The following is a 22,035-nucleotide window of genomic DNA, read 5'->3' as shown; positions in this document are numbered from 1 at the left end:
GAGGGCAGCTGGGTGCCACAAAGCATAAGCAAAACAGGAAGGGGACACATTATCCAATCCCAGAGCCGAGAGCCAACCCCGAGCAAAGCCAGGCTGTCCTCTCAGACCAGGTCCAGCGCGGTCACAGGCTGAATGCTTTGATGTTCAGAATGGACTCAGAGAAAAGACAGCCCAGGAAGTGTGTTTACTACCAAAGGCTTGGGGATCCCGCGAGCTGCATCCGTGAAGAAGAAAGCACACCTCATCCAGCCAAGGCAGAAGGAAGCCTCCTTGCGTCTGGGAGGGTACCAGCAGCTGCAGCCACCAGCCAAGTTGACAAGACCGTGCCAAGATCAGCATCAACTAAGCCACTAGGGCCAGCAGAGTGGACAGCTGTTGGCATTTTTACTGCCCAGCTTCCATCCCCTGAGCTTCTGAGAGCAACATGCCAGGTTTCCTTAGGTGACCCATCCCTCCTATACTCCCAGCCAAGTCCCTGCATCCCGGGAACCAGCGGTGGGCGTAAGACCTAGACTTCATGAATCAGTGTATCCCACCCCTCTGGCCAAAGTTCAGGGATGCGTATGTGACTCACTTTCTGTCCAGGGTGAGCCATCCCTGGGACATCTGCTGAAATGATTGGGAAACAGATTTGCTCTTCCTGTTGGTATTGCTAAGTGGGTAGAAGGTCAGCCCAGGGCAGCCATCGTCCATCTTCGTGGATAAGGTACCTGAGGACGAAGGCAACCCAAAGGAAGGCACAGCCTAGAGACGGGGTGAAAGAACCAGTGTCCAAAGACCCCACTGGAGCTCTCGATCCAGCCAGGCCTGAATCCGTCCCCCTTGAACCTTCCAGTTACCTAAACCCCAAAGCTTCATTTTTTCTTTACATTAATTTGAATTGGGGCTTGCCACTTCAAACCAAAAGTTTCTTGACTAAATCAGCTAAATGACCAATCAGAGGCCAGGCACGGTGGCTCACACCTGTAATCCCAGCACTTTGGGAGGCCAAGGTGAGGGGAATCACGACACCAGGAGTTCGAGACCAGCCTGGCCAACATGGTGAAACCCCGTCTCTACTACAAATACAAAAATTAGCTAGACATGACAGTGGGCACCTGTAATCCCAGCTACTTGGGAGAATGAGGCAGAAGAATCATTCGAACCTGAGAGGTGGAGGTTGCAGTGAGCCGAGATTGTACCACTGCACTCCAGCCTGGGTGACAGAGTGAGACTCCATCTCTAAAATAAAAAATAAAATAGGCCGAGTGCAGTGGCTCACACCTGTAATCCCAGCACTTTGGGAGGCCAAGACAGGCAGATCGCTTGAGGCCAGGAGTTCGAGACCAGCCCGGCCAACGTGGTGAAACCCCATCTCTACTAAAAACATAAAAATTAGCCGGACCTGGTGGCGGACACCTGTAATCCCAGCTACTCGGGAGGCTGAGACAGGAGAATCGCTTGAACCCGGGAGGCGGAGGCTGCAGTGAGCCGAGATCGCACCACTGCACTCCAGCCTGGCGACAGAGGGAGATGCTGCCTCAAAAAATAATAAAATAAAATAAATAAATAAAATAAATTACCAATCAGAAGGGACATTTGGGGGTATTATCTACTGCCTCACCAACACAAAGGCCCTTGGGCCCCAAACCTCTATTTAATAAAAATCACAATAACACAAATGTTACAGAATTGTTTCATGTATAACACTGACTGACTCTGTTTTTGTATTCTAACTGGGGTACCAACTGCCCTGAGTCTAGGGGAGGCGGGGAGCAGGGAAGCCTCCCACAGCCTGACCTGCCCTTCTTTCCCCAGCATTCAACACCTAACACGAAATGGCCCCAGGCCGCCCTAACAGCCTCATCTCCCACGTTCCCCAGCAGGGAATCCACACCACAGCCAAGGTGGGATCTGAGCGGGCCCCTGTTTTTTTATCTTGGCCCCTTGTCTTCCACTGTCTCCTTTGGGGATGTGCTTCCCACTCCATCTCTCCCTTCAGACATCCTGTCCAGTCCCCGAGGCCCACTTCAAATGCCACCAACTCCAGGCAGCCTTCCTTGGGCGGTCCCCCTTTCTTCTGACCTCCAGGGCTCCCTGCACCTCTTCTCCACACCTCCCTCTTCTGTCTTGGATTCACATTCCATGGTTGATCTCTGCTTCAGGAGCATGGGCTGCTGGAGGCAGGGAGGGCACCCGCATATTGATGGAGGTGAACTGAATGAGTGAATGAACGTTTGGGACACAATCCATTTAAGGAGGGACTGCAGCTTGCATTTGCATTCATGGAGGGGAAAGAGAGGGGCAGATGCCACCAAGAGGGCTGGCAGCCCTTTCTAGAAGGGGGCTGGGGGTCAGAGGAGCTGCAATGTGGAAGCCAGGCATCTCGGTTCCCATCACTTGCACCACGGCTGAGTCCTGCCTCCATGTGGCCATACCCTTGGGGGACCTTCTGGCCATCCACAAGGGGCATTTATTGCTGTCACTCTCAAAAGCCCTTCCTGGCACATTTGCAGATCTCGTTTTCAGATGGCCTGTTTCAGTGACCTATTGATTTACATGCTGTTTCTGTCTGTGCATCTCAAAGATCTTATTAAAATAGACGTTCTATTAAAATACAGATGGCACAGGTAACCCAGGCTGCAGCCGGGACCTTCCAGTTCATATCGAGAAGTGAGAATTTCTGTTCTCATTAGTGAGGCCAGCAGCCAGGAGACCTTTCAGCTTATCTGACACCTGACAGGACAGACCTTTCCCTGCTCTAGGCTCCACCCTCCCCTTAGCTCAGGCTAAGCATTCAAAAGAAGCCCAGCTGTTCCAGAGACCCATCTGATCCCTTCCTTTAAAAACAACCAGAATGTTCTAGGGTGCCAGAGTTCTTAACTCCTTAACAGGAGACCCAAAACAGAGTTTTGGAGTCTTGACCAGGACACCTGGTCTCTCTGAGCTGCACTTCAATCTACTTCATTGGACTGTAGCACGGGGGTGTTAAGTACCTCAGCCAGGGTCACCATATAATTGGTGGTGGGAGAAAAAGCATAGAATTTGGCACCAGACAGATTGGAATCCCAGCTCTGTTATACGAGCTAGGTGACATTGGAGACGCCATCCCTTTTGAACCTCAGCTTTCTCCTCTATGAAGAATGAAGATAATGATCATCAGTGTCATGCAGAGAATGAAATGAGGTAAGTGAAGCATAAGTACCAGGCAGGTGCAGGCCCAGAGCGGGGATCCACGAGTGTTTCTGTCTCTGTCCCTTCTCACGTTATTCCTGAGTTTCTGTACTGCGACGCGCAGCCTCCCATAACTTCTGTCATTTTGTTTGGAGGTAATTCAGGAGGGGGAGGGAGGAGGAATACTTGAAGGCAAATCCACAGTGGCCATTCTGCAGCCCAGCTCCCACAGGGCGCCCCGCTAGGCTGCCGGGACCCCTCCTTTCTCATCGCAATGGATCTGCCAAGACCAAGAAGTCCCAAAGGACGCACAGGACTGGGATGCAACCCCCAGCCTCTGTGTTCACAGGGTTACACCCAGAGCTCCCAACCCCCAGCCTCCTGCTCCCCACACCGTACGTCCCGTCCTTCAGGGAAGGGGCAGGTAGCAAAGGTGTGGCCAGGTGTAGGTGGGCTGCAGTGAGCAGGAGGCTACCAGCCCTGTACTGATCAGGTAGCTAGAAGTTGAGGTGTAATGAGGGAAGGCCAGTCCAGCCAGTGTTCCCAGAGCTTCTGATTTCTCAAGACTGAAAAACAGATTCACAATGTGGAATCTTCCAATTCTAAAATATCAGCTCCAAAGGAAAAAACAAAGTATGTGGGCAGAATAACACCCATCAGGCATGGACGCTCCAGCCAGACAGGGCTTTGCTTCTCTGCTGCCCACTGCTGCGTCCTCAGCACCTAGGACTGTGTCTGGTCCAGAGGACAGGCTTCCTAACCATATGAGGAGTCTGCAGGGGCCCACTCCCCACCTCCGCCTCAGACTGCAAGCTCCTAGGTGGCAGGGCTGCTGCTGTCTGCACTCTCCGCAGTCAGGATGGCATGCTGCTACGTACGGGACAAGACGGTGAGGAACCGGGGGCTCCCGCCGCCACTGTTTTTTTTTTTTGAGGGGGACAGAGTTTCACTCTTGTGGCCCAGGATGGAGTGCAGTGGCGCGATCTCGGCTCACTGCAACCTCCGCCTCCCGGGTTCAAGCGATTCTCCTGTCTCAGCTTCCTGAGTAGCTGGGATTACAGGCACCCACCACCACGCCTGGCTAATTTTTGTATTTTTAGTAGAGACGGAGTTTCACCATGTTGGCTGGTCTCGAACTCCCGACCTCAGGTGATCCGCCTGCCTTGGCCTCCCAAGGCGCTGGGATTACTGGTGTGAGCCACCGTGCCCGGCCCTACCTCCACTCTTACTAGACTCTTAACTCAGCCCCATCCATCAACCAAAGACAAGAGAGATGCCTCCCTTATGGGGTTCTTACAAGTTGCTTTACCCTCCAGAGTAAGCCCTCTTGACAACAGGTATCATCACAGTGCCCTGATCCTGCCACACAGCATTCAGTGTGACTGATAAAGATCTTTACAGTAGAGAAAGAGAAAAAGGCAGAAGAGGGAGAAAGAAGGGAGGAGGTGGCTCTCATCCACAGGCCCCCCGCAACTCCTGCCTTTGGAGAAATGGACTAACCATAAGGCAAGGTCAGCTGTCTCAGGACACACATGGGGCCGACATGTCTCCAGAGGCGTCCCCAGCTCCCAGCCAGGCTGCCCAGCCCTGGAGGACTCTGGAAAGGACTTGGCTGGAGCTCCAGCCTTCATGAAATACAGTGTTCATAACTGATAAGCTTAAAAGCAAGTGACAATTTTTCAATCCACCCTTGCTCCAAGGGCACTGAATAAACACAGCGTCTGCTCCAGGTTCCCACTAGTCTGCCTGGAAGGAGAAGGGAAGGTTGATCAAGTGTACTCACCCCTAGAAATGAGCTTGGATTCTTCGAGACCCTCTTCAGGGTTCAACCAGGACCCCCGCACTCAGAAATCTCAGCTTATGAAATACCAGCCATGTTCTTCCTTCTGCCATGGGTATAAAGGGTACCCCGGGCACCACCCAGACACTCTTAGTGGAATCCCTAAAGTGATGGGCCTGACTTTACTTTTTTTTTTTTTTTTTTTTTTTTTGAGACAGAGTCTGGCTTTGTCACCCAGGCTGGAGTTCAGTGGTGCAATCTCGGCTCACTGCAACCTCTGCCTCCCAAGTTCAAGCAATTCTCCTGCCTCAGCCTCCCAAGTAGTTGAGATTACAGGCGCACGCCACCACGCCCAGCTAATTTTTTATTTTTAGTAGAGACGGGGTTTCGCCACGTTGGCCAGGCTGGTCTCGAACTCCCAGCCTTGAGTGATCCGCCCGCCTTGGCCTCCCAAAGTGCTGGAATTACAGGCGTGAGCCACTGTGCACAGCCCATATTCGGGTTTTCTAACGTTATATAACTATCATACATGGAAAACCAGTATCACTTGCCAGGATTCATTTCTTAAAGTAGCTATTAAAATAAAAAGCACTTGTCCACCTGAAATCATCTTGCCTACCTCACTTACTTTTTATGGATTCAGTAGGCAAAGAAACTGAGTTTGTTGAGGGGCAGGGAGTTGGGGGGCGTGGGGGTGCTTCATCTGCTTAAAATGACTGAGAGACTTCCTGGGCCCTTCAGCAGCCCCCGTCTGAACAGAAGTGCTTTTCGTTGATTTCACCGAACAGGCCTGACAAGCCCTCTATTTGGCAACATCCTGGTAAGCAGCCATCTGTGCACCACACAAGCTCCAAAGAGATAAAACTGCATTTAGAAAAATATATATATTGGCTAATGGCGACTGTCCACTAATTCAGACGCCCACTGCCCCTCTTTGGCATAAATGAAGGGAGGCTGCCTCTGCCAATCAGGCGGCAGTTCCAGGACCCAAGACTTAGGAACGCAGTGTCAAGAAGAGCCCTGGCTCCTGGCCCCAGCTTCAGGACGGTCATGGCTGAGCCTGGTCCCTCTCACGTCTACGGGTCCCAAAGCTATGCAGAGGCAAGGCATAATGACAGAGCTACACACGGGCAAGTGATCATTTGCAATTCTCTACAAAATCTCTTCCAGAAGGAAAGAAAGGAGAGAGAAGGGAGACAGTCCCCAATCTCAGACAAAAGAAAGGGCGCTGAGTATTAAAAGGGCCCCAGGGAGCCAGGCATGGAGGCTCACGTCTGTAATCCCAGCACTTTGGGAAGCCAAGGTGGGTGGATCACCTGGGGTCAGGAGTTCGAGAGCAGCCTGGCCAACATGGTGAAACCCCGTCTCTACTAAAAATACAAAAAATTAGCCGGGCATGGTGGCGGGCACCTGTAGTCCCAGCTACTCAGCACGGGAGGAGGGCCCAGGCTGAGGCAGGAGAATGGCATGAACCTGGGAGGCGGAGCTTGCAGCGAGCTGTGATCGCGCCACTGCACTCCAGCCTGGGCGACAGAGCGAGACTCCGTCCCCCCCCCCAAAAAAAATACAAAAATTAGCTGGGCATGGTGGTGGGTACCAGTAATCCCAGCTACTTGGGAGGCTGAGGTAGGAGAATCGCTTGAACCTGGAAGGCAGAGGTTGCAGTGAACCCAGATCACGCCATTGCACTCCAGCCTGGGCGAGACTCTGTCTCAAAAAAAAAAAAAAAAGACCCCAGAGAAACAGGCAATGGGCACGTTCTACTTAGGGGAGCCAGGAGGCCTCTTGGGCTTCCATCCATTCACTCAGCAAATATTTACTGAGCATCTCCTATTCTGGGCAATGGAGACCCAGAGGTAAAGAAGGCAAAGTTCCCGCTCTGAAACAGTTTCCATTCTAGGGGAGGAAACAGCCAATCAACTATTTATTGCACACACTAGATACGATCAGTAAATGAGGAGTACCATGGAGGAAATACAGCAGGGTAAAGCAGTAATGACTGGAGGGAGCTGCTTAGATTGGATCGTCAGGGGAGGCCTTTTGAAAGAGATGCCATGTGAGTGAAGAGTCCGGGGATGAGGAAGCACCAGCCAATGAGCTCACTGTAAACAGCAGGTGCAAAGGGCCTGTGGCAGGGGCGAGCCTGCCATGTTCCAAGTGTGGAAAGGAGGCCTCCGCAACAGAATCATGGTGATCACCAGGAGGAAAGGACGACAAGTTGGGAGGTGAGGTCACAGAAGCAGGCAGGGGGTGTGGGCCGGACTATGGAGTTGGGATTTCATTTAAAGTATAACGGAAAGTCGGCCAGGCGCGGTGACTCACACCTGTAATTCCAACAGTTTGGGAGACTGAGGTAGGAGGATCACTTGAGGCCAGGAGTTCAAGACCAGCCTGGCCAACATGGTGAAACCCCATCTCTACTGAAAATACAAAAAAATTACCCAGGCACGGTAGTGCGTGCCTGTAATCCCAGCTACTTGGGAGACTGAGGCAGGAGAATCGCTTGAACCCAGGAGGCGGAGGCTGCAGTGAGCTGAGATCGCGCCACTGCACTCCAGAATGGGTGACAGAGCAAGATGCTGTCTCAAAAAAAAAAAAAAAAAAAAAAAAAAAGATAAATAAGTATAATGGAAAGTCTATGGAGAGCTTTCCACAGGAGAGAGACCTGGTTCTATTTGAATGTTTTAAACTCCACTCTGGCCACCATAAGGAGAGAGGATAAGGGAGACTAGAAGCCAGGAGACCAAGCAGGAGATTAAAATAGTGGCTCAGGAGGAATTAAACTCATTTGCACCTCACATTCTGTCCCTTCAACTCGAATGGTCTAAGGCCTCAGACCTTTGGTGAAGTGAATAGTGGGAAGCTGGCTAAAGGGAGGTGTTTGTTCTTTAAAGCAACGACAGCCCACCGGGTGTCATTCAAACATCAGACAGAAGAGGACAGGAGACAGGCCCTTCCAGAAAGGGCAGGACCCAGCTGCCTCCTAAGGAGAGAACAAGCAGCCATCTGTTCTGGGACCAGGGAGTGGATCGGCTCCTGTCTCATGCCCCTTCCAGCTCTGGGACTCTGGGACTGCAAGGCCAGAATTCTGGACAAACCCCAGGCACAGTCCTCATGTCCAGCCAGCTCATGGGGCTGCCTGCAATGGCAGGACACAGGTAATCTCCCGATACCAGGTTCACACCCTAGAAACAAATCAATCAACAATGACTAACGTCGCAAAAAGAGACAACTACACAATTACTAATGGCACGATCTTGCCAAAAAAAAAAAACAAACAATCAACAACAAAAAACAAATCTGATGGTGCCTCTAGAACTAAATACCAACTTACAGGTAACACAGGGGACAGCAGAACATGTTAAATAACACCAGGAGATGCCATCCACAAAATCCTGACTGTGGGAAACTCCACAAGACAAACAGTCCAGTTTCTTCAATAAATAAATTGTAAGAAAAAAAGAGTTGGGTGGGCCATGCACAGCGGCTCACACCTATAATCCCAACACATTGGAAGGCCGAGGTGGGCAGATCACTTGAGTCCAGGAGTTCGAGACCAGCCTGGGCAACATGACGAAACCCCATCTCTACAAAAAGTACAAAAATTAGCTGGGTGTTGTGACGGACACCTGTAGTCCCAGCTACTTGGGAGGCTGAGGTGGGAGAATCACTCGAGCCCAGGAGGCGGAAGTTGCAGTAAGCCAAGATCATACCACTGCACTCCACCCTGGGTGGCAGAGTGAGACCACATCTCCAAAAAAATTAAATTAAAATTTTTTTAAAAGAGTTGAAAGGGCCAAGCAGGGTGGCTCATGTATCCTATAATTCCAGCACTTTGGGAGGCCAAGGTAGGTGGATCACTTAAGGCCAGGAGTTCGAGACCAGCCTGGCCAACATGGTAAAACCCCATCTCTACTAAAAATACAAAAATTAGCCGGCCGTAGTGACAGGCGCCTGTAATCCCAGCTACTTGAGAGGTTGAGGCCCGAGAATGGCTTGAAACCAGGAGGCAGAGGTTGCAGTGAGCCGAGATCGTGCCACTGCACTCCAGCCTGGGTGACAGAGCAAGACTCTGTCTCAAAAAAAAAAAAAAAAAAAAGAGTTGGAGGAAAATACAGATTAAGAGACACATCACCCATCACATAGTATTGTTTGAATTCTGACTCAAAAAAACTTTTGAAAACTTTTACGAGACAACTGGGGAAATTCAAATACTGACTAAATATGGTATTAAGAAATCACTGTTAATTTAGAGGGTATAATAACGGTAGTGTTACGGGGGTTTTTTTAAGAATTCTTAACTTTTTTTTTCCTGTTGCCCAGGCTGGAGTGCAATGGCTCTATCTCAGCTCTCTGCAACCTCTGCCTCTGGGTTCAAGCAACTCTCATGCCTCAGCCTCCCGAGTAGCTGGGACCAAAGGCACATGCCACCATGCTCAGCTATGTTTTTTTATTTTTTTTGTAGAGATGAGTCTCACTATATTGCCCAGGCTGGTCTCGAACTCCTGGGCTCCAGTGGTGATCCTCCCACCTTGGCCTCCCAACGTGCTGAGATTACAGGCGTGAGCCACCGTGCCTGGCCAAGAATTCTTATCTTTAAGATACAAATTGAAATATTTAAGAATGAAATGATCTAGTACCTGAGATTTACTTCAAAAAAATAATCTTGTGGAGGAGTGCATTGGTACATAAATGAAACAAGATTGGGGCCGTAAGTTGATAATGGCTGAAAGTAGGTATTATGTTACCCTATTCTCTCTACTTTTGTGTATGCTTGAGAATTTTCACAACAAAATTTTTTTAAACAAGAATTGCGATAGGCTTTTTCTACCCAGGAATAACCCACCAGGTATGATACTCCACAACAAAGGGATCACATTCATCAGATTCGAGCTCTCCCCTGACAGCCTGCCAGAATTTGCTAAATGATGAGAGAATCCATATCTTCCTCCTCATAAACTCCATGATGGGAGCTGTCTCAAAATAACTACCCACCATAAGAAGTGGACTTGTTTTCATTTATGCTAAATGACCTCTCTCCAGTTCAGAAAGTCACACCCAAGGCCACAGTGACTTTATCCACATCTTTCAGAACGTACCTTTTTTTTGAGACAGAGTCTCGCTGTGTTGCCCAGGCTAGAGTGCAGTGGCACAATCTCAGCTCACTGCAACCTCAGCCTCCCGGGTTCAAGCAGTTGTCCTGCCTCAGCCTCCTGAATAGCTGGGATTACAGGTGCACGCCACCACACCCAGCTACTTTTTGCATTTTTAGTAGAGATGGGTTTTTGCCATGTTGGCCAGGGTGGTTTTCAACTCCTGACCTCAGGTGGTCCACCCACCTCGGCCTCCCAAAGTGCTGGGATTACAGGCGTGAGCTGCCGCGCCCGGCCAAGAACGTACATATTTTGATCGTGTTCCTCGGCCTCCGTCCTTCCCAGCAAAGCTGCCTGTTTTCCCCCTCAGGGAGCCAAGCTCCCCACTACCCACATCCATAAGAAGCAGGCTCTGAAAATCAAAGTGGTTTCCAAACCGCAGTCTCTGAGGAAGGCTTCATCCAGGTGTCTCCTGGGAGCCATACTCAAACCCAATCCCCTCTCAGACACGCCACTGCTTTTACAGGATCCCATGTGCCAGAAACCCTGAAAGATGGGCAGAAAAAGGCATAACCTCCAGGCTGCCCCACAGCTCCCGTAGAGCACGGTCAAGTCCAACATGATGATCACCACGCCCATTTCTCGAAAACGGAAATTGAAGTTGGAGCCTGGAGCACAGTTCTTGGGAACTACCAAGACTAGCTGGGAGTCTCCTAGTTCTGGGACTATATGGGACATCTGTCTCATGACTACCCTGGCTGGCACACCTCCCTGTCCCCTAATACGCAATATTTCCAAGTGGCCTGGAGAGAGCAGGAGGATGAAAAAGACCACTGGGTGGTCCCTGCAAGCCACACACAACCATTTCAACCCTTAAGGCTAAGAGCCAACAGTGTTATCTGCACAAGCCTGTCAATTACAGGTGCTGGGAAGATCGATGGATGGATCAAGCCTTCTGGGAGGAGAAGAAGGGGCCTGAGCCTGACCCCACCTTGTGATGAGAGGTGGTGGAAGGAAGAGCTCATCAAATGTAACGCCCAGCATGGAGTATGGGGGATGCTTAAGAGAGGCTGGCAGCTGCAGCCTGCTCCAGGCCTCCCGTGGCCACCAGCACCTGCAGAGCAAGGGTCAATAGTGCTTGCTGCACTCATTTCAGACGCTTAAAGAGACAAAGAAACTCCAGATACAGAGAGGGAAGCAAAGGTCACTTAGCACCATGATGAAATCAATCACTCTTTCTCCTTGGGTAGGTTAAGTCCATGGCCAAAGCCACCAGGATGGTTGGAGCGACAGAAGAACGGGATGAAGCCAGGGGCTAGGAAGGCCACCAATGTCTGCCTGCATTGCAGGCTCTTAAGAGCACAGTGCACTCAGGAAGAAATAAAGGACTCCATGGGCCTGGGGTACCCGGGTCCCAGCCAATCCCTCCCTGTCCCTATCCGGGTCCTTCCCTGGGCCTCACTGCACCTGCCCCCACCACCCACAGACTAGTTCTGCCCAGGCTCAAACCCACCTGGCTGCCCCCTTGGCCCATGCATGGCTGGTCTTGACTGCTACTGGTGGGGCTGTCACCACCGGACATCTGACCTTGGTCACCAGGAGCACAGGCTCAGGGAGAGAAGAGGGGGAACAGTTCCGATCAAACCCCCGTTACCTTTATGCAGCACTTTGTACCTTTCTGTCCTGTCTCCACTCACATGATCTGACTTGAGCCTCACAGCCCTTTGTGGTGAGGCAGAAACCGAGGTTCCCAGAGATGAAATCTACCATCACACCACAGTCAACAGATGAGCCAGGAAGAGAACTTCTCGCTCTCTGTGCAGGGGGCTTTTCCTCTCCACCCCCCAACCACCACCCATTCTATACTCAGAATCAGGAATTGGTCCCACGCATCTGCCTTTCTATCAAGCCCATTTTCCATTCCAGCCCTCAAAGCAGGCCCAGGCTGTCTCAGAGTTGACCTGTTCACCACCACTCTACAGATAAAATGCTGAAGGGCAGAAAACAGAAGGGAATCCAAGTCCAGGGGAAGATGGACTCAGGCCCTGGAACATTGCACTCCAGAGTTCCCATGGCAGCTTCTTCTGCTAGACACACATGTCGCTGGCATCAGCCATTCCTAGACCACTTGCAGGATTTCCACTATATTTGTTAACACTTGTATTATTATTACTACTATTTCTATTAAATAGATTCACTTCAGCCGGGCACGGTGGCTCATGCCTGTAATCCCAGCACTTTGAGAGGCCGAGGCAGGTGGATCGCCTGAGCTCAGGAGTTTGAGACCACCCTGGGCAACATGGTGAAACCCCCGTCTCTACTAAAATACAAAAAATTAGCTGGGCGTGGTGGTGGGTACTTGTAGTCCCAGCTACTCCGGAGGCTGAGGCCCGAGAATTGTTTGAGCCCAGGAGGTGGAGGTTGCAGTGGGCCGAGATGGCGCCACTGTACTCCAGCTTGGGCTAACAGAGTGAGACTCCTCCTCAAAAATAAATAAATAAATAAATAAAATAGATTAATTCTTGTGACTTCATATGTTTAAAGAGATGTTTTATATCACTACCACAAATGGAAAAACATCAGTACCACTGGCCATTAACCAGGAGAGAATCCTAAAAATAAATGAAACAAAAACAAAAACAACCTAAGTTCTAGCCAGGCAACTGTTCCCCACTCAGAGGACCGGGAGCCGGAGGTCTGCTCTCTCTTAATTACAAAAGGAAGATTAGCAAGTGTTTAAAATGTGTTAAAGGCAGACTAGCATCCACCTGAAACTTCCCCTCAAAGAAATCACAAGGATTCGCAGAGAACTGAAAAGGGAAGAACTTTCTCACTAGGTGACTCAATGTTATTTCATGCTGAACCACCTTATGTCATTTTCACGGGAAATTCATTCTGTGCAGCGGGCAACATCTTGTTACACACATTATAGGAAGGGGGGACGAGAGGAATGGGGGACAACCCACCACAAGGGCAATCCATGCCAGCTTCTCAAAGTCCCCCGTATTCCCTGCCTACCACCACCCCAGGTACGTTCATACCTGTGGGCATATCCAGGGGCTGCTGGTCACCCCCAGGTGTCTCTGGTTCCACTGCCCGTGTCTTATAGGGTGCGGTATTAACCATTCCAAAACTCCTCTGGAAACTAGGATCCAGCAGGGTCACTGGAAGCTACCCCAAATCCTGATCCCGGCAACATCTCTGTGGGCAGTCAGCTTCCGCACTCCCCTCCCCCCATTGCTGGAGGCTCTGCCATGCACCCTAGCAGAACAGGGAGGCTTTGTGCCAACGACCTGCCTGGTAGCTCCTTGGGGTCTGGTGGATGTCAGACCTGCAGCTGCGGTTGCAGCCTAGAAAGCTTCCTCAGAACCTCCTTTGCCTACTCCAAACCCCACACCTCCCACCACACAGGTCGTCCAAAATGTCTCTGAAATAGCTAAAGAAAACTATTTTCAATATCCAGGAGCAAACGAAAGAACAAACGCCAGAAAGGCGAAGAGGCAAAGTCACCCTATGGCGGTGGGGCGAGAGGGTGGGTGGGGAGCGAACAACCTCCAAACTTGCTCCTCGCCTGCCGGCACCGAGCGCAGAGCAAGCGGATCTCGGCCAGGCAGGCACCTCGAGGGCTCAGCCAAGTTGCAGGAAGCAAATGGCAACACCGGCGCATGGAGCCGCCTGGGCTGGATCAATGGCATCCGCGGCTGCAGGCTTGGGGAACGGGGTCGCGGTCTGCAAAGGGTCTGGGGGCGACGGACTTGGGGTCCCTCCGTCAGGGATCCACCCCGATGCGCCCTCCCAGCGGCCCTCCGATTCCGCCAAGGTCCTGCCCAGGCTCCTCGCACCAGCCAGGGTCCGGGGCGAAGCTCCGAACTCGGTTCGCACGACGGTACCTGGAGAGGAGGCTTTTTTCTAACCAACACGGAACCAAACACCCATCGGAAAAGTCCACCCCAAAGAAAACTGGCATGCAGCAGGAGAGCGGAGGGAAGCGGCCGGCGCTGCAGGGGTTTACCTTTTCTCTTTATTCTGCCTCCGGGATTTGTGCAGGAGTCCGATGAGCACCACGGCGGCGCGGATCCCCGCCTTTCGGCAATGCCTCCTCCCCGCGGGCTGGGACATGGCGAGGCCGCCCGCGGTGCCCGACCTCGCCCGCCCGCGTCCCCGCAGCCCCGGCTCCGCGCGCTCCGCACCCGGCCCCTGAGCCCGCGCCCCGGCCCCCGGCCTCCGCCTCGCATGGGCCCCGCCCCGCCTAGGTGCGCCCCGGGGGTCAGGTGACCGCGCGCTCTCCCCTCCCTCCCGGCGACCTTCAGCGTCTCCTCGGGGCCCGCGGGGCAGCCGCCGTCCGCTCCCCCGGCGCGGGCATTTCCGAGGCTCGCTCGGGGCGCGGCCCGGGCCGGCGGCTCCCGGCTCCCGCTCAGACGCGCCGCCCGCGCCGGGACCCGCCCCGGCCCCGCCTCCCGCGCCCCGGCCTCGGCCGCCCGGATGGTGGAGGACGCGGGGCACAGGGAGCGGGCGAAGCGCAGGAGGAGGCGGACAGCGCTCCCGGGACCCCCCTGCCCGGCTCCCAGGCGCCCTCCCCGGCCCCGGCCCTGCCTCCCCTCGCCCGCTCCTTCTGGTCCCCGCCCGCACTCCCGCCGGCGGCCCCGAGCTCCCTCCCCAGGCAGAGGCGGCTGCCGCCCTCCCCGGCCCGGCCCCGGATACTTCCCCGATGCTGTCACTGCTTTTAAAACAGAGGGAGAGAAAACAGGCACCAAGAGGAAACGCGCGTCCTCCTCCGTCCAAACGAAACTGCCCGCGCGCGGTCCCCGTCCCCTCCCGGCCGCCCAGCGCTTACAGGGGGCACCTGAGCCCGGCGCCCGCCCCGGCTCGCAGCTCCCGGGCCCGGGTCCCCGGGTGGGAGCTTGCGGATGGGAGGAACGAGGCGGAATTCTGCCCCCGCCTCCCCGCAGAGTCGGCGCAAGGATCGCCGAGCTGGGATGCAGAGTGGGCTGGGGTCGGCTCCCCGCGAACACTGGCTCTCCCGGCCCTGGGAGTTTGACTCCACATGGGTTCAATAACCAACTTCACGGCGACCCCGCTTCCTCCTGGCGGGCCGGGCGCCCCCCACTCCGCCCTCCCCGCGCCCACCCGGGCCTGGCCGCTGCGCACTCGTCGCGTGGTCCCTCCCGCCCCTGCCAGCCGCGCGCGAGCCTCATCTCCTTCGGAAAGGAAGGGCGGAAGGTCGGAAGGTCGGAAGGTCGCGCCGGCTCCTGGGGAAAGGGCTGTGGCCTGGTCCCTACCATCGGCGCGGGGCCTCGCTCACAATCGCCCTCATCCACTTCCAGGTGCTGCCCAGCCTCCCAGCCCCCTCCCGCCTCACCCCTCCGAAGCATCACTCACAGCTTTGCCCCTCTAGGGAAAAGGAAGTGGGCAGGGGGCTGAAAGGAATTAGAACAAGCCAATTAGTCCATCTTTGGGGCCGAAGAGGTTCCCCCTGAGGCAATTTGCCTTGTTTTTTGTTGTTGTTTTGTTTTTTGTTTTGTTTTTAATAGTCTGGTGTTCAAGCAAACACAGAAAATCCAGGCAGGGAGGGGACCATGCTGGGTGGAGAGGGGAGAGGGACTGCAAACGAATTCGAGGGCCTGAGGCTTCAGCCCTGCCTCTCCAATGCCCACAGCTTCCTGCTGGCACTGGAGTTGGGGTGGAGGGGAGGAAGCCCCAGGGTGGTTCTTAAATGCACCTGGTCTATTTATGAAGCAGCCGTTACCACTGGCCTTGTGCCCCCCACCCCCACCCCCACCCCCTCCCTGCCGGGGTTGTGGGGGATCAGAGATATAGATAGCCATGGACATCTTTTTATAGCTAGAGATTTGAATGACCCGGGCCCCACTCCTGAGATTGGCGGTTAGGCAGGCTGCAAGTACTATGCCAGTAGTGACTTAAGAATTGGTCTGGAAAAAGAATAAAATGAGTGTCCTTGGTAGAGAAAAGGGAAGAGCTCCCAGCAGCATGCAACCCAGAGCTTCTCTTCCCCTCTCTCCCACCGCGCTATAGCACACAGCACCCGAGGACCCACAGGTTAGCTGATGGACCGCTTCAGTTAGATGGCAGGGAAGGTGATGAGGGCGCTGGCTTAGGTCTATCCTAGCGTTGGGTGTATTTTACCCACACACAGAAGGCTGCACCTCAACGGAAGGCCTGATCCTCCTTCCCAGCAGGTGAGAGTGTGGGAGCTAGTTCAGGTCAAGTGCACAGTGGGTAACAGGGTGGCTCACACCTGTAATCCCAGCACTTTGGAAGGCCGAGGCAGGCAGGTGGATCACTTGAGTTGAGACCAGGAGTTCTAGACCAGCCTGGGCAACATAGTGAGACCCCACCTCTCCAAACAACTACAACAGGGAATTGGGATGATGAAGGCACAAAATCCACCATGCAGGTTCCATTATTCATTCTCTTATTCTGGGGTTCCCAGCCCTCTAAGTCCTTCTACAAGCCCAGTGTCACTGCAAACACAAGGCTGTCCCCCAAAAAATCGTAACCTCTCAGCCCCTGACTCCTGAGTCTCTAAGAGGTAGAATTTTCCTGGCAGTGAGAGGTCCCATCCTTCTGCCCCTGCCCTACAAGCTCGCCACCTTTGGTGCATAAACAGCAATTTCCCCTCTTAACTCCCACTCCAGCCCCCACAGCCCATCACACCCACACCCCACAGAGGGGACCCCAAAGCACAAGAAAACCCATCAATAGCAGAGACTGGAACAACCATCAATGCTAGGCTTACCCATTCCACCAGCATTTATTAAACATGTACAGTATGTCCAGCTTTATGCAAGAGACCAGGGCAAGAAAGAAAAATGGAAGACCATCCCTGCCCGAAACAAACAGGGTTAACACACTCCAAACCTCAAAAGAAGACCATTTCCAGCCAGTGTGTGCAGTTAGCCCAGCCAAAGCTTCCCACAATTGGGCCACACGCCACCTCCTTCATAATTCTTTGTCTTAGTGTCATGCTGCTCTGCTGTTTATAATTTTGCTTTAATTACATCAACTTACTTTTTCACTTTTTTTTTTTTTTTTCTTGAGACGTTGTTTTGCTCGTCGCCCAGGCTGGAGTGCAATGGCACGGTCTTGGCTCACTGCAACCTCCACCTCCTGGGTTCAAGCGATTCTCCTGGCTCAGCCTCCTGAGTAGCTGGGACTACCGGCATTCGCCACCACATCGGGCTAATTTTGTATTTTTAGTAGAGACGGGGTTTCGCCATGTTGGCCAGGCTGATCTCGAACTCCTGACCTCAGGTGATCCGCCTGCCTTGGCCTCCCAAGTTCTGGGATTACAGGTGTGAGCCATCGCGCCTGGCCTTTACTTAATTTTTTTTTTTTTTTTTTTTTGAGGTGGAGTCTTGCTCCATCCCTCAGGCTGGAGTGCAGTGGCAAGATCTTGGCTCACTGCAACTTCCGCCAACCGGGTTCATGCCATTCCCCTGCCTCAGCCTCCCGAGTAGCTGGGATTACAGGCGCCCGCCACCATGCCCGGCTAGTTTTTTTTGTATTTTTAGTAGAGACGGGGTTTCACCGTGTTAGCCAGGATGGTCTCGATCTCCTGACCTCGTGATCCGCCCATCTTGGCCTCCCAAAGTGCTGGGATTACAGGCATGAGCCACAGCGCCCGGCTGCCTTTACTTAATTTTAAAAGAAAACGTTATTGCAACCCTAAATGAAAATCCATTATCACTTGCCCTTCCTACCATGAAAACAAACATAAATTTATTAAGTTCTGCCTCAATACTGTTGCCTGACAAAGGCTCTAAGCTTGAAGTACCTTCCTTAAAAAAGCAGGCGGGCCAGGCGCAGTGGCTCACGCCTGTAATCCCAGCACTTTGGGAGGCCGAGGCGGGCGGATCATGAGGTCAGGAGATCGAGACCATCCTGGCTAACATGGTGAAACCCCGTCTCTACTAAAAATACAAAAAATTAGCCGGGCGTGGTGGCGGGTGCCTGTAATCCCAGCTACTCGGGAGGCTGAGGCAGGGGAATGGCATGAACCCGGGAGGCAGAGGTTGCAGTGAACCGAGATCACACCACTGCACTCCAGCCTGGGCAACAGAGCGAGACTCCATCTCAAAAAAAAAAAAAAAAAAAGCAGGCAGTGTTAGGTGTTAGTGACACACCTGCGCCAAACCAAGGCACTGTTCTTGAAGAAATCACAGTTCGAAAGAGAACGGACAGGGAAGAATTTTCACATTACTCTGCTCCAAGGCCACATTCATGAGGCACTTTGGGGTGGGCTGAGAAAGCTGGATACATGCAGACCGCAGGAAATGAGGACGGCAGAAGTCTCTGACGGCAGAGAAGGGGTCTTCCTGCAGGTCTCACCTCACCCAACTTATGCCCCACGGCGTCCCAGCTCTCAGGACCTCCATGGCCTGTTCCAGCCTCCAAAGCTCACAGTCCCAGAGAACAAAGTGCCCGGCAGCTGCCAGCCCAGGTCTCTCTTCCAGTCCAGGGGAACTCCAAAGGCTGAGGGGGCCTGGGTGGGAATCAGGCCTGGGGCGGGAGACAGCGAAGTTAATCATGAACAGAGCGCAGACAGCTGCACAGCCCGTTCCTGAGGGGCCAGTGGGTTGAGGCAGACAGACACGCATGCCTGGCCCTGAAGAAAAGGGCCTTCTGTGCCTGGGAACCGGCTCCAGGAGACATATCCATGAGAAAGCGGGAATCAGCCCCAATCCCCGTGCCCCTCGTCAGAGAGCCAGCCTGCAGCAGACGCCACCTCGTCGCCCCACCCAGCCACCAACTCCCAGCGCCCCACTGCTGGGCAGAATGACTGCCACCGTTCTGGGCTGGGATTGGGGGTGGGTGGGGGCGAGGGGGGCCATGGAGCAAGGAGGGTGGGGCCTTTGATGAAAACCAGATGTCTTCAAACGCCTTGCCCCTCCCCTCCACGGGCAGGGTCCCAGCTATTCCATGGACCACACAACCTTTGGGACAACGCAAGGGTTATAAACAGAGCCTTGGACAGGACGGTCCAGCACCCCCGCTCTCTTCTGCCTTTGAGGGTACACACATACACACACCTGCTCTGGGATATCACTCTGAAGCCCGCTCGCACACAGCTGAACGCTCACACCTGTGCTAAGACACCTCCACTCTTGGCAGGTACATCAGCGCCCCCTGCTGGGCCACAGCACAGTTGCGTCTCTGGGATGCCCCCTTAGGAGGAAGACAGAGGAGGGGGAAGAGGGAGGCAGGAAGGCGTCGGGGGAAGGGAAAGATTGAAGTCATCTGAGGTCGGGAAGCAGTTTCTATTTTTGAAAAGTGAGAGCTGGGCCGGGTGCGGTGGCTCACGCCTGTAATCCCAACACTTTGGAAGGCCGTGGCAGGCGAATCACTTGAGGCCAGGAGTTCGAGACCAGCCTGGCCAACATGGTGAAACCCCGTCTCTACTAAAAATACGAAAATCATCCAGGCGTGGTGGCGGGCGCTTGGAATACCAGTTACTCGGGAGGCTGAGGAAGGAGAATTGCTGGAGCCCAGAGGCGGAGGTTGTAGTGAGCTGAGATCGTGCCACTGCACTCCAGCCTGGGGAACAGAGCAAGACTCTATCTCATAAATAAATAACTAATTAAAAAAAAAAAAAGAAGGAAAAGAGAGAGATGCAGGAAAACTCTCTGCCAACATACTGACTCTCCTCCCAGCTTCTAAAATCCCCTCACAGAACCCATGACCAGCCCCCAAGAGGTCCATCCCACCACAATAGGGTCGTTCCGTGATAAACGCAGGCCAGGACTCGGAGGCCTCAAAGACAAGCCTGGGAAACCTCAGCTCAGCCCAACTTTCCTGGGGCCACAGACGTCATATTAAGCAGAGGATCTAAACTGGCTCAGGTTTTGGAAACGGATCTCTGTGACTTGTGTGGCATTTCCAAGCTCCAAGGAAAGGAAACCACGCTGAGGAAACCCACAGATCCCACTCAGTGGCGGGCACCCTGCGCTCTGGTACCCAGAGCCATGAAGGTGGGGCCTGCAGTACGTGATGTCAATCAGAACCCTGCCGACTTCCTGTTCAGGGATTATGGAGAGTGGGTAGAGGGAGGAATAAAGAAGTTCTTCATATATCACTTGGGTTACTGAAGTTATTTAAAATACTTCCTTTTTTGAAGTTCATTTATGGATTTTTGAATTTTTGCTAAGCTGCATGACTACAGTAATTTTTCCCACAGTGAAAAAATTCAAAAGGATCCTTCTGTGTGTGAAATTTCTGACGAACAGGAAGAGGTGTTATTTTGCATAGAGGCCGCCCAGGAGTCAGTACAGAGAATCAGGAGCGGATGAGGCTGAGGGCTGGGTGGCCTACAGCACAGTCCCTCTCCAACCCAAGGTCCCCCGGCCCCCGCCTCACTGATTACCAAACCTCCCCAGCTGCTGCTACTCCTGAAGCCACTTCCACCTCTTCCAGAGTTTCTGAGGCTGAGTGGAAAAGCCGGGAGGGAAGCTGTCTTTCCATAATATTAGCAACATTGCTTAGCAACATCTTTCAAAGCGAGAACCAGCAGACTCTCCAAAACCCTATTCTGTTTGGCTCTACAGAGAACAGAGTGGTTTCTTATACATGTATTATTTATATACTATTTTATATATCCAGTAACGCCTTCTGTGCCTGGCTTCTCTGGGAGATGACGAATTACAACTATGTGAGATTTCCAGGCGACTAGGGCTTTGGGTAGCAAGACTTTTTGTTTGCTTCCTTGCTTGCTGTTAGTTACTGTAATGACCCTAGCTAGAGATTTCTCTCAAACGCCTCCAAATGCTGTTGTCCTTTAAAGACAGGTTTGATGCCGGGCGCGGTGGCTCACACCTGCAATCCCAGCACTTTGGGAGGCTGAGGCGGGTGGATCACGAGGTCAGGAGTTCGAGACCAGTCTGGCCAACATGGTGAAACCCCGTCTCTACTCAAAATACAAAAATTAGCCAGGCAACGTGGCGGGCGCCTGTAATCCCAGCTACTCGGGAGGCTGAGGCAGGAGAATCGCGTGAACCAGGGAGGTGGAGGTTGCAGTGAGCCGAGATCGCGCCACTGCACTCCAACCTGGGCGACAGAGCAAGACTCCGTCTCAAAAATAAACAGATAAAAATAAAGGCAGGTTTGATGGAATCTTTTTGTGGTGACTCAAATCCATTATTATCAACACTACCATTATTATCAACTACTATTGTGAGCTAAAATGCAGTTAGGAATTGACAGGCCATTGAGAGGAGATGCCCACTTGTCCCTAGGCTTAATGGCCCCAAACAGCTGTGGTGCAAAGACACTACAGTGAGGGAATAAAAATACATATGCTGCAGTCAGACGAACCTGGGTTAGAATCCTACCCCCAGCTTTTACTATGCATGCGGCCTTGGACTAGGAATTCACCCCCTCTGTGCCTCAGTGTCTTCATCTGTAAAATGGGAATAACAACAGTGCCAACCTATTAGCTACTGCAAGGATTCAGTGAACATGCATGCTCTACACAAAGACTTGCATGACAATGTTCATCACCATTTTATTCAAAATAGCCAAAGTTGGCCAGGCATGGTGGCTCATGCCTGTAATCCCAGCTACTCGGGAGGCTAAGGCAGGAGAATCACTTGAACCTGGGAGGCGGAGGTTGCAGTGAGCCGAGATTGCACCACTGCAGTCCAGCCTGAGTGACAGAGTGAGATTCCATCTCAAAAACAAAACAAAACAAAACAAACCGCCAAAGTCGGAAAGCAGCCCAAGTGTCCATCAACAAGCTGTGGTACATCCCCGCGGTGGAATACGACCCAATAATAAAGGGGAACAAAACATGGACACATGCAACAACAAGGAAGCACCTCAAAAGCAAGATCTAAGTGAAAGAAGCCAGACACCAAAAAATGCTTAAAATGCTTCAACGGGATTCCATTGATGAGAACTTTTTTTTTTTTTTTCAATTGAGACAGAGTCTCGCACTGTTGCCCAGGGTGGAGTGCAGTGGTGCAATCTCGGCTCACTACAACCTCCACCTCCCGG

General features: G+C 52.7%; 1 protein-coding gene across 12 annotated transcripts in view, besides 3 other annotated features; it reads right to left on the bottom strand.

Annotated features, from left to right (window-relative positions):
* The window catches only part of RAP1GAP2 (RAP1 GTPase activating protein 2), a 282,097-nt gene that overhangs the window by 169,601 nt on the left and 90,461 nt on the right, over positions 1-22,035 (bottom strand). For 2 of the 12 annotated variants that reach the window (NM_001411049.1, NM_001438817.1), the window contains exon 1: positions 14,039-14,457. The exons of the other annotated variants lie outside the window; for them this stretch is intronic. In NM_001411049.1, coding sequence (NP_001397978.1) covers positions 14,039-14,145 — 107 coding nt within the window. In that variant the 5' untranslated portion in view covers positions 14,146-14,457. Of the gene's footprint in view, positions 1-14,038; positions 14,458-22,035 lie in introns of those variants that run through there. 12 annotated transcript variants of the gene reach the window in all.
* Positions 11,487-12,009: an enhancer, noted in NCBI's record as "H3K4me1 hESC enhancer chr17:2759426-2759948 (GRCh37/hg19 assembly coordinates)". NCBI's record gives its function as "activates a minimal SCP1, AML or CMV promoter by ChIP-STARR-seq in primed H9 embryonic stem cells {active_cell/tissue: H9 hESC(primed)}" and the evidence as "EXISTENCE:reporter gene assay evidence [ECO:0000049][PMID:30033119]".
* Positions 18,034-18,624: an enhancer, noted in NCBI's record as "H3K4me1 hESC enhancer chr17:2752811-2753401 (GRCh37/hg19 assembly coordinates)". NCBI's record gives its function as "activates a minimal SCP1, AML or CMV promoter by ChIP-STARR-seq in primed H9 embryonic stem cells {active_cell/tissue: H9 hESC(primed)}" and the evidence as "EXISTENCE:reporter gene assay evidence [ECO:0000049][PMID:30033119]".
* Positions 19,807-20,398: an enhancer, noted in NCBI's record as "H3K4me1 hESC enhancer chr17:2751037-2751628 (GRCh37/hg19 assembly coordinates)". NCBI's record gives its function as "activates a minimal SCP1, AML or CMV promoter by ChIP-STARR-seq in primed H9 embryonic stem cells {active_cell/tissue: H9 hESC(primed)}" and the evidence as "EXISTENCE:reporter gene assay evidence [ECO:0000049][PMID:30033119]".

Source organism: Homo sapiens, chromosome 17 (assembly GCF_000001405.40).
Source record: "Homo sapiens chromosome 17, GRCh38.p14 Primary Assembly".
NCBI classification, from domain to species: domain Eukaryota; kingdom Metazoa; phylum Chordata; class Mammalia; order Primates; family Hominidae; genus Homo; species Homo sapiens.
This window is presented reverse-complemented; position numbering and strand designations above follow the sequence as displayed.